This window comes from Homo sapiens, chromosome 15 (genome assembly GCF_000001405.40).
Source record: "Homo sapiens chromosome 15, GRCh38.p14 Primary Assembly".
NCBI lineage: Eukaryota > Metazoa > Chordata > Mammalia > Primates > Hominidae > Homo > Homo sapiens.
The window spans coordinates 50,535,841-50,548,122 of NC_000015.10; the positions used below are offsets into that span (position 1 = coordinate 50,535,841).

Here is a 12,282-nt window from a genome sequence, read left to right on the forward strand (position 1 = left end):
GAAATCTATCACATAATTAGGTTAAAGGAAAAAAAATCACACACACAATCAAATCAACAGACACAGAAAAAGTGTCTGACAAAATCCAATACCCATCATGATAAAAACTCTCAGTAAACTAAGAATAGAGGAGAACTTCTTCAACTTAATAAAGAATGTCTACAAATAATCTACAGTAACATCATACTTAATGGTGAGTAACTAGAAGCTTTCCCACTACAGTCAGGAGCAAGGCAAGGATGTCCCCTCACCACTACTTTTCAACATTGTATTAGAAGACCTAGCTAATGCAATAAGAAAGACAAGAAAATAACAGGTATAGAGACAGGGAAGTAAGAAATAAAACCGTCTTTGTCTACAGATGACATGATTGTATATGTTGAAAATCTGAAGGAATCAACAAAAAAACCTCTTGGAAATAATAAACAATTATAGCAAGATTGTAGGATACAAGATTCATATACAAAAAGTATATTACACATCAGCTTTGAACAAATGGAATTCAAAATTAAAAATATGGCTGGGCATGGTGGCTCACACCTGTAATCCCAGCACTTTGGGAGGCCAAGGTGGGTGGATCACCTGAGGTCAGGAGTTCAAGACCAGCCTGGCCAACATGACGAAACCCTGTCTCTACTGAAAATACAAAAACTAGTCGGGTATGGTGGTGCATGCCTATAATCCCAGCTACTCAGGAGGCTGAGACTGGAGAATCACTTGAACCTGGGAGGCAGAGACTGCAGTGAGCCGAGATCGTGCCACTGCATTCCAGCCTGGACAACAGAGCAAGACTCCATCTCAAAAAAATTTTAATTTAATTTAAAATGAATTAAAAAAAAACACAATACCATTCACATTAGCACCCTCAAAAATGAAATACTTAGTTATAAAATTAACAAAATATGTACAAGACCTATAGAAGGAAAACTAGAAAATTCTCATGAAAGAAATCCAAGAGGAACCTAAATAGAGAGATATATTCTATATTCATGGATAAGAAGCTTCAATATTGTCAAGATGTCAGTTCTTCCCAACTTGATCTGTAAATACAATGCAATCCCAATCAAAATCCCAGCAACTTATTTTGTGGATATTGACAAAATGATTCTAAAGTTTATGGGGTGAGGTAAAAGATCCAGAGTAGCCAAAACTATACTGAAGGAAAACATAATTGGACTGACATTACCAAACTTCAAAACTTATTTTAAAACCAGAATAATCAAGACAATGTGGTATTGGTGAAAAAAATAGAAAAATAATGGTATAGACAAGAGAGCTCAGAAAGGGACCCACAAAGATATAATCAACTGATCATTGACAAAGGAACAAAGGTAATACAATGGAGAAAAGATGACCTTTTTCAACAAATGGTGCTAGGACAACTGGATATCCACGCGAAAAAAAAAAGAAGAAGAAGAAGAATCCACACACAAACCTTACACCCTTCACAAAAATTAACTCAAAATGGATCACAGACCAAAATGTAAAACAGAAAACTACAAAACTCCTGGAAGATAACACTGGAGAAAATCTAGATAATCTTGTGTTTGGCAATGACTTTTTAGCTACAACACGAAAGGCCTGCTTTACAAAAGAATTGATAAGCTGGACTCCATTACAGTCAAAATTTTCTGCTCTACAAAACACTGTCAAGAGAATAAAAAACAAGCCATGGACTAAAAAAAAAAAAAGACACATCTGGTAAAGAACTGCTATTGAAAATATACAAGAAACTTGGCCAGGCACAGTGGCTCATGCCTATAATCCAAGCACTTTGGGAGACCGAGGTGGGCAGATCGCCTGAGCTCAGGAGTTCAAGACCAGCCTGGGCAACATGGTGAAAACCTGTCTCTACCAAAAAAAATAAGAATTAGCTGGGCGTGGTGGCGGGTGCCTGTAGTCCCAGCTACTCTGGAGGCTGAGGCAGGAGAATGGCTTGAACTAGGGAAGTGGAGGCTGCAAGAACCAAGATTTCACCACTGCACTCCAGCCTGGGTGACAAAGCAAGAGACTGAAGAAAAGAGGGGAGGGGAGGGAGGGGAGGGGAGGGGAGGGGAGGGAAGGGGAGGGAAGGGAAGGGAAGGGAAGGGAAGGGAAGGGAAGGGAAGGGAAGGGAAGGGTCTTAAAACTCAGCAATTAGAAAACCAACAACCTGGCCAGGCGTGGGGGCTCATGCCTATAATCCCAAAACTTTGGGAGACCGAGGTGGGTGGATCATGAGGTCAAGAGATCAGACCATCGTGGCCAACATGGTGAAACCCCATGTTTACCAAAAATACAAAAAAAATTAGCTGGGTGCGGTGGCGTGCACCTGTAGTCCCAGCTACTTGGGAGGCTGAGGCAGAAGAATTGCTTGAACCTGGGAGGTGGAGGTTGCAGTGAGCTGAGATCACATCACTGCACTCCAGCCTGGCAACAGAGTGAGACTGTCTCAAAAAAAAAAAAAAAAAAAAAAAAAAAGACAGAAAAAGAAAAGAAAAGAAAACCAACAACCCAATTTTTAAAATACGCCAAAGACTTTAACAGACCTTCATTGAAGTATCTTACCAGGGACTAGGGGGAGCAGGAATGTGGAGTTACTAAAGGTTACAGAGTTTCTGTGTGGGTGAGGAAGAAGTTTTAGAAATAGTGATGACTGTTGCACAACATTGTGAATAATTAATGTCAATGAATTGTATGATTATAATTGCTAAAATGGCACAGTTTTGTGTTATGCTGTATATATTTTATCACAATTTAAAAACAATAATGTAATATACCAAATATCATTGAATTGTATACTCTAAATGGGTGAATTATTGGCATGTGAATTTTATCTCTATAAGGCTGTTCGAAAATATGTGCCCACAAAAATGTAAAAATCCATACCTTTTTAGGTGGAAAATAATTATTTTTGGTGCTTTGGAAATACTGGCCCTCACAGCAGTTTCTTGCTTGGTTTCACAAAAGGAGCAGTGAATTTCGTTGTTCCAGGTCAGTGCGTCTTGTTGAAAAAAACATTGGAGACAGTCCTGTTAAGGAAAAAAAGGATTTGGTGACCAAATTGGATCAACTGCAACCTGCACTCTCTGTTTCTATTGGAACTTTGCAAATGCCGTGGAAATGTAGTTCTCAGTGCTTTTCTCAAAGTCAACAAATCCAGAAGACAACAGTCTCACTAGCTGCAGCCAGATACCTGTAAAATCCACCTAGAAGGTGTTTCTTTCTTGTTACTGAGATGGATTTGAGTGCCTACCTCACTTATAATCTAGAAATCAGTTTTTTTTGGTTTTGTTTTTTTTTTTTTTGAGATGGAGTCTCGCTCTGTCACACAGGCTGGAGTGCAGTGGCATGATCTCGGCTCACTGCAACCTCCACCTCCCAGTTCAAGTGATTCTCCTGCCTCAGCCTCCTGAGGAGCTGGGATTACAAGTGCGCACCACCAAGCCCAGCTAATCTTTATATTTTTAGTAGAAATGGGGTGATCTGCCTACCTTGGCCTCCCAAAGTGCTGAGATTACAGGTATTAAGCCACCACACCCAGCCTATACATCAGCATTTTAACTTTTCTGTTTTTTTTTTTCAGAATAATACTGATTTTGCAATTTTTTTTTTTTGAGACGGAGTCTCCCTCTGTCGCCAGGCTGAGTGCAGTGGCACGATCTTGGCTCACTGCAACCTCCACCTCCTGGGTTCAAGCGATTCTCCTGCCTCAGCCTCCAAGTAGCCGAGACTACAGGCGCGTGCCACCACACCCAGCTAATTTCTGTAGTTTTCATAGAGATGGGGTTTCACCATGTTGGCCGGGATAGTCTCGATCTCTTGATCTCGTGATCCGCCCGCCTTGGCCTCCCAAAGTGCTGGGATTACAGCCTTGAGCCTCCATGCCCAGCTACTTTGCAGTTTTCAGCAGTGAAATCAGGCAGCTGCTTTATGCTATTCATCTCATTGCTAAAATGATCCGGTGACAAAAATGACTCTCAGGGTTTGGGGGTGGCCCATAATAAAGATAGCAGAACAGGGATAAATTAGACCCCATATCCATAGGAGAGATCCTCAGTGTGGCCAGCTCCTTGGTTCTGCAAACCATTAACTGGAAGAAGAAGAAGAGCGCAGATTTTGTTTGCAGAGGAGCCACTAGCACCTTACTTAGAGTGTCAGGAATTTCTTTCCAACAATCTTTAGCAGTTTGAGCTGAGAAACAAAGCCCAGTGCTGAATAAGTAATAGGATTCTATTCTCCAATTCTGGTAGGTAAAACTTTTAGCAATAAAATGTGCTTTCGTAATTTAGGAAGAAAAAATGTAAATTTGCATAATTCTGCAAGAAAACTTATTGCTGTCCGCCCCTTGTTTGCTCCTTATTGCTGGCTGTCTTCTACTGCCACCCACCCCATGCCCACATCCCCAGTTACAGATTAACTTTTGGCGTTGTGGTGAAGAAAATTTGAGAGGTAAACCAAGGCACTAGATTCCATTCTCTCTTTCCAAAACATTTCACAACTTTAGTCCAAAATATAAGAGCTCAAGTCTAAGAGTCTAGAATGTTTTATATCTAGTTCCCAATCTGGGCCTTACAGACCTCTGGGGTAAGGGAGGGTCATAAACTTTTTGCAAGAAATTATAAATTTCTTTTATGCACAAATCTACCTCAATAGACTCAATAAACCCCACTATATTTCCAATTTTACAGTCAGGCTATTTCGTTGAGTACATTTAAAAATATGATTGAATTCCTAGGAACTTTTGGCCAGTATGTCCCTATAAAAAAAAATACTGTCATCATGGACTTCCTCTTTCTTTTATTTATTTATTTACTTATTTGAGACAGAGACTCACTCTGTCACCCAGGCTGGGGTGCAGTAGTGCGATCTTGGCTCACAACAACCTCCGCCTCCCAGGTTCAAGCGATTCTTATGGCTCAGTCTCCCAAATAGCTGGGATTACAGGTGCCCGCCACCATGTCCAACTAATTTTTGTATTTTTAGTAGAGACAGGGTTTCACCATGTTGGCCAGGCTGGTCTTGAGCTCCTGACCTCAGGTGATCCGCCTGCCTTGGCTTTCAAAAGTGCTCGGATTACAGGCATGAGCCACCGCACTCAGTCTATTTTTTTTTAAATTAAAGTTATAAAGCCGTCTCTCATACTAAACAAATGTAGGAAACAGCCCCGAGAAAATCCGGGGCTGAGAGTATAGCGAGACAAAGTGTCCAGGAATACTGCATTCCTACCCGAAGGGAGCATTCATATTTGGATGGAATGGGGAGTGAGAAGACAGTGAAGACTTCGTTCTTGTAGGTGCATTTCTCACACTTTAAACATACGATGCTATAATTGAGCTGCTCTTCAAACAGCTGGGTGATGATGGATGTCTCAGTGGTAATCCACTTCCTGCAGCATCTCTGAGTAGATCCTTTCTCATATGATCTTCTCCGGGAGTAGTGGTACTGAATCAAGGAGCAAATTTCACCCAAATTAATTATTGGTTATTTAAAAAAGACTGTGGCAACATGGTGAGATCCCATCTCTACAAAAAAAACAAAAAATTAGCTAGGCATGGTGGCACACATCTGTGGTGCCAGCTACTTGGGAGGTTGAGGTTGGAGGATCAGTTGAGCCTAGGAGTTTGAGACTGCAGTGAGCCGTGTTAGCACTACTGCACTCCAGCCTGGGTGACAGAGTGAGACCATGTTTCCAAAAAAAAAGGAAAAGTTTTCAATAAAATGACTGATTTTTTTTTCTATCAGAATGAGACATTGCTACCAGAAACCACTTAGTTTTGGATTCAGACAATAGAGTAAGATATCCTTGAAAGTATATATATCATGTGTGATTTCTGATAATTCAGATATTTTCCCGTTAGATGAAACAGAGGAATGATGACAGTCTAACTCTGGTAAAACATATACCCATGGCCCCATAAGCTACCAGCCTTGGGAGCTAGTTTTTTCTGGAAGGGGGTAAGTAAGCTAAATTAGCATTAGTTCACTCAAGCAGATCTAAAGGTAAAATATTAAGAAATCCAATCTTTCCTGTCTCCAGTCCCTTCAGGTTACATTCTGCAGCCTTTACTCCTTTAACTTCTAGAAAACACTTTTTTAAAAGAGCAAATCTTGGCCAGGCATGGTGGCTAACATCTGTAATCGTCGTGCTTTGGGAGGCTGAGGCGGGAGGAGTTTGAGATCAGATTGGGAAACATAACAAAATCCTGTCTCTACAAGGTTAATTAAAAAAAAAAAAAAAAGATAAGAGAGCAAATCTTAAATTTCTAAGGCAGCCTGGTGGAACTAGCCTTGTGGCCTGGTTTGGATCCAGCTCATACTCAGCAACAGCATTTCTGGGGCACACCCTGAATTTTCAGTGATTTAAGAGCCTCAGTGGAATATACATTTTGAAGATGTGTTAGCTCCACAGCTGGCTCTAATTTGGGGCTGTGCTCAGCATTCCATTTTTGCTTGCTCCTTTCATCACACTCTGCTGCCAAAGTCTTCCACCCTGACAGTAACTTAATTCCCCTAATTCCTACTTTGATCTTGGGAAACAGAATGCTGTTTGTTTCAGATTGGCTGTAGAAGAGGACATAAGTGATTTTTACTGCCCACTCACCTCTTTTCTTAAAAAAGTGCTGCCATGAATATGTTTTTGTTTTTTTTTTTCCTTTTCATTTTTTTTTTTTTTTTTTTTTCTTGGAGACGGAGTCTTGCTCTGTCGTCCAGGCTGGAGTGCAGTGGCATGATCTCGGCTCACTGCAACCTCCGCCTCCTGAGTTTAAGCGATTCTTGTGCCTCAGCCACCCGAGTAGCTGGGACTGCAGGCTCCTGCCACCACGCCTGGCTGATTTTTGTATTTTTAGTAGAGACGGGGTTTCACCGTGTTAGCCAGGATGGTCTTGAACTCCTGACCTCAAGTGATCCACCCACCTCAGCCTCCTAAAGTGCTAGGATTACAGACGCGAACCACAGCGCCTGGCCATGAGTACTTTTTTATTACTCTAAATGAAAAATGGAACTGAGATCTGCCAATGAGAACAATTAATAGCTATAGTTTGCAACCTTTATGCTAACCATTCCCTGGGTATTAGAGGTGCAGTGAGGTAATGTTAGCAGAAGGATGTTGCATAAAGTCAAGGACACATTTTCAGAGAATGTGGGTCTCAGACCAAGGCTAAGGGCAGTGAGTTTTGTAAATAAAGGCAAAACCTCTAGAGTAACTGATGATTTCATGTTTAATGAAATGTATGTCCTAATTCGGTGATGAACTCAGGTTAGGTATGTTTGGTATGAGGATGAAACTTTGTAGTGCGTAGATCTGTTGCTTAATCTAATATCAAGCTTAATATTTTCATGGATTTGTAGGTCCCAAGAAAATTTAAGCTATAAAGTTCTATATGTTATTTCTCATGAGGAATATATTTTGCACTTTTAAAAACTAGTCCATTCAGCCTCTATTTACAAAGAAAAGTAGATTAGTGTTTCCAAAGCCTAGCTGACCACTGGAAATGCCAAGTAAGCTTTCCCAAAAGACATTCTAATTAATTACCCTTGGAGTATTTGCCTTAAAATCTGTGTTGTAAAATCTTCCCAGATGATTCTGATGACAAGTAAGTTTGGTAAATACAGCTACACATTCAAATACTAACTTGGATGTTCTCCATGGGACACCTAGCACAGTGCTTGGCACAAAGTAGACAATATTAATTGAACAAGTAAAAGAATGAAAAATGGAAGCTGCTGATAAAGGTTCAGGACTATCCTATTTCAAGGTCATTAACTCTACTTACCTTTTTTAGAGCTTCATGAAGTTCATTTAGGACACAAATCAAGAATTCCTGAGCATCTTGTTGCATCTTTTTCGTAAATGCTGGGTAGAGGTTGCCAAGAGCTGACCAGAATATTTCTGGTGAGACACAGTCTGAGTCTCCCAGCCACATGTCTGTCATCAGATAGGCAAAAGCAGTGGCAACTTCACTGCAATCGCTTGGAAGAAGAAAGGGATATGTTTCTGGCTGATTTAATGAAAAGAAGGCACCTAATCACCCAAGCCTAGGAAATTAGTCTCAAAATGGAAGAACGTGGTGTCTCATGCCTGTAACCCCAGCACTTTGGGAGGCCAATGCAGGAGGATAGCTTGAGCCCCCAGAAGGTCGAGGCTGCAGTGAGCTGTGATCATACCACTACTTCACCCCAGCTTGGGTGACAGAACAAGACTGTCTAAAAGAAAAAAAAGGATGCCAGGCTCAGTGGCTCACACCTGTAATGCCAGCACTTTGGGGGGCCGAGGTGGTAGGTTGGGAGGGGTGGATCACTTGAGGCCAGGAGCTCAAGACCAGCCTGGCCAACATGGTGAAACCCCGTCTCTACTAAAAATACAAAAAATTACAAAAATACAAAAAAAATTAGCCAGGCATGGTGGCGCGTGCCTGTAATCCCAGCTACTCAGGAGGCTGAGGCAGGAGGGTCACTTGAACCCGAGGAACAGAGGTTGCAGGGAGCCAAGATCGCACCACTGCACTCCAGCCTGGGCAACAGAACGAGACCCTGGCTCAACAACAACAATAAAAAAAAATAAAAAATAAAAAAAAAAGGAGCTGCATTCATTTCTTGGTTGCCCTTCCCACTTTTACTTACTCTAGCGTGTTATCTGGGAAGCTACAACCTCTACTGACTTGTTTGTTTATCTCTTAATAGGGATTCCAGAGTTCCTTCTCTAACCTCATCTGTGGGGAAGTGGGGGTGGGGGCTGGGCTGCAGGGAATGCAAATGGTCTTACTTTTGCAGAGCGGTGATATACTTCCCGGTGAGAAAGTATTCCACCAGCGGCAAGATGCTGCAGAGACACTGTGAGATGGCATTCACGCAGCATGTGTTGCCCAAGTTCCACAAGCCAGTGACACCCTGAAAATGGGGCTGGTTCCCATCAGCCTCCTTAACTGGAAGGGTATCATAGTAATCTGTGCACTCTGCACTGTGTTGGTGCCACATGGGAAGAAAGGGTTTTGAGAGAACAAAATATGTACAAATGACAATAAGCTTCTCTTAATATTATGAAATAAAGAAGAGTTCTTAATAAGACTTCCTCCAAACACATTCCCTACCAAGGACAGGAAGTATTGGAACTTGGAGTCTAAAATTGTATTATGGCAGAGCATAGTGGCTCACACCTGTAATCCCAGCCCTTTGGGAGGCCGAGGTGGGAGGATTGCTTGAGGCCAGGAGTTTGAGACCAGCCAGGGTAACATAGTGAGATCTTGTCTCTATTACATAAATAAATTAAATTAAAAACAAAATTACATAACTTAGACCAGAACTGTGAACAAGTACCTGAAGCCAAATAAGACAGATAAAAATTTCCTTCTAAAACTAAAGCAAGACAACTGACAACTTGCTGGGCAAGTAATTAAATTATTATTATTATTATTAATAGTTAATAAAACAATAGCTATCAGGTAGTGAGCCTGGCACTATTTAAGTACTTAACATGCATTTTCCCATTAAATCTTTCAACAATTGTGTAAGGCAGGAACGATTATTTTTACATCCCATTTTACAGATGAGATGTCAGGTTTAAATGATGTAGTCATTTACTCATGGGGTGTGTGGTGGTATGTAAAAAAAGGAATATCCACCTATCTGTTTACCTCCCTCCCTCTCTCCCAACATACCTATCCATTAAGATATTTGGATTTACATATATTAAGATTGTCTATATATATTAAGATTGTCTCTATATATGTGATATATATGTATATATTTGTATATATATGTATGTATGGCATATATATTGAAGGCATAATATATGCACATTAAGAGCATGAATATATATATCTTAAGAGCACACATATGTGTATATGTGTATGTATATAGCTATATACATATAAACACACACACACACATATACACGGAGAGGAGAAAGAGCACAGACTTTGTAAAAATATAGATCTTAGTTTAAATCCCAACTATGCCGTTTATTAATTATAGGATCTGGGATTCTATGTCCGTTTCTCATCTATAAAATAGGAATAATATCATCTGCCTGATAGGATGGTTGTGAGGATTATGCAGGTATCATGCAAGCTACTTGACACAGGTTCGTCTAAATGACAACTGAAAAATTTTTTTAAGTGATTGATCTAGGATGTCCTTCCCAGTAAGCTACAGGATTAGAGTGTTCATGTGAATTGCCCAGACCTGCCTGCACAGAGAGAACACTGAGGGTTCCAAACGGGACCTCCTCTCCCTGCACAGAGCTTCCTCTTACAATTTTTTGTATTGTGCCAGGCAGCCTGGTATCTATGTCCTCTCGGATTTTTCTTTCCATATATTGTATCTAAAGTTGGGGCTCCATGAGACAGTGACCTTACCTCATACATACTTTTAAGTACAGTTATGCCAGTTTGAAAAGTGTTCACTGTTATAAGCATGGTCATTTTCACTTTTACTCACTGATACCACAGGAGGTCCTAGACTGTCACCCTTTAGGAAGGACATGTATTTATTGCCAAGATATTAGGTACAATCTTCCTTCCTTTCCGGGGACCTTCCATGGGTCACACCTGGGAGAACCCTCCTGAATGCAGTGTGTGTCCCCTGACTCCTCTGAGCTTGACTTTCCCACCACTGGGCTAATCTAGAAAGCTGTAGTAGATCAAGGCTCACAGGACGTGGTAGATATCGAAGTCATCTGCAGGGAGAGACGGCTGAGAAGTCATTTTAATGGAACCACGTTGGACTTTTGCTTCTATTCAGGAGCTACATCTATTCCTTTCAACTTCATTTCTCTGAGCCTGTTAACGCTGGCTTTTTGTTTTAAACAATTGATATGCTCCTCTCTCTTCCAGTAGCTGCGAACTGATTTTCACCTGTATCAGGCACCACTCCAACTTGGATTTTCCGTACATCATAATCCTTTCCATTCACCTTCAAGATTCTATCATGTTGCCATGAGACACTGTTACTGGGTTGTCTGAAATGTTTTAGAAAGATTAGGCTCCAGAGAATGAACTACACATATAACCTCTCTTCCTTCTTCCATCACTCAGTTTCTCTTGTGTATATATATATTACACATACACACACACACACTTAACATGTGCACAAAAATTTACCGCCACTGAGTTAGTGGACACTACGGCAACCCTGCCTGCTCTGGGCACTCATTCCCCCTTCCCAGCGACTACACCACACCTAGGAGCCCTGAGGGAATTTCCTCACCCCGGGGAGCGAGGATTTCCACTTCTATTCAGGAGCTAGATCTATCCGGACTGAATACCGGATCAGAAAAAAAAAATTGCCATAAAAGAACATTATGGGAACGATTGATGAAATTTGAATATGGATAATATGCAGATAGTTTTTTCTATTAATGTTGAATCTTCTGAATTTGATAAGATTGTACTGTGTTTATGCAAGGGGATGCCCTTGTTCTTAGAAAATACACACTGAAGTTTTTCGGGGCACAGGGGCATGATATATGCAACCTATTTTCAAACGGTTCAGGAAGCACACAGGGACAGGAGGACAGGAAGGAAGGGGACTGATAAAGCACATACTATAAAGCCAGTGCACCCACACGCCAGCAGTTGGTGATTCCGAGTGAAGGCCCACTAAAGAGCACTATTCTTGCAACTCTTCTGCAAGTTTAAAAAATTAAAAAGAGGCCGGGCGCATCGGCTCACGCCTGTAATCCCAGCACTTTGGGAGGCTGAGGCGGGAGGATCACGAGGTCAGGAGACAGAGACCATCCTGGCTAACACGGTGAAACCCCATCTCTACTAAAAATACAATTAACTGGGCGTGGTGGCGGGCGCCTGTAGTCCCAGCTACTCGGGAAACTGAGGCAGAAGAATGACGTGAACCCGGGAGGCGGAGCTTGCCGTGAGCCGAGATCGCGCCACTGCACTCCAGCCTGGGCAACAAAGCGAAGACTCGGTCTCAAAAAAAGAAAAAAAAAATTAAAAAGAAAGAATATATTACACATATTTTTTGCTAAAATGGATTTCTCTCCAGATATATGACTGGTAAGTCAAAAAAAGCAAGGTGTTGAGGAATCCATAGTATGCACCCCAACTTATGTCTAAATGGTTAAAAAAAACCCACATATATGCTCAGGCTACACGAAGATATTTAGAATATTCATTCTTTGACACCTGGATAAGGAATCCTGGCAAGTAGAGCTGTCCTCTCTTGCAGGTATTTGATATTTGCGATGTATTTACAGAGGTATCTCTCCAAGTCACCTCAGTGGTGGTTCTGCAGGACTTAAATCCTGTAAACTTGCTCTATTTGTCAGTGAGGCTCTCCCAAGTC

At 41.3% G+C, this 12,282-nt stretch overlaps 1 protein-coding gene across 5 annotated transcripts in view; it reads right to left on the reverse strand.

The window, feature by feature from the left end:
• USP50 (ubiquitin specific peptidase 50) overlaps nucleotides 1-10,826 on the reverse strand; it is a 53,642-nt gene extending 42,816 nt beyond the window's left edge. For 4 of the 5 annotated variants that reach the window (XR_007064444.1, XR_007064443.1, XR_007064445.1 and 1 more), the window contains exons 1-4: nucleotides 8,747-9,174; nucleotides 7,758-7,953; nucleotides 5,209-5,424; nucleotides 2,869-3,011 (exon numbers count right to left, since the gene is read on the reverse strand). Coding sequence is in view for 2 of the 5 variants with exons in the window: in XM_047432465.1 (XP_047288421.1) it covers nucleotides 2,869-3,011; nucleotides 5,209-5,424; nucleotides 7,758-7,953; nucleotides 8,747-8,958 (767 nt within the window). In the remaining 3 variants the exon portion in view is untranslated. Of the gene's footprint in view, nucleotides 1-2,868; nucleotides 3,012-5,208; nucleotides 5,425-7,757; nucleotides 7,954-8,746; nucleotides 9,175-10,632 lie in introns of those variants that run through there. The other variant, NM_203494.5, reaches the window with a different exon arrangement.
• Nucleotides 10,827-12,282: the final 1,456 nt, after the last annotated feature.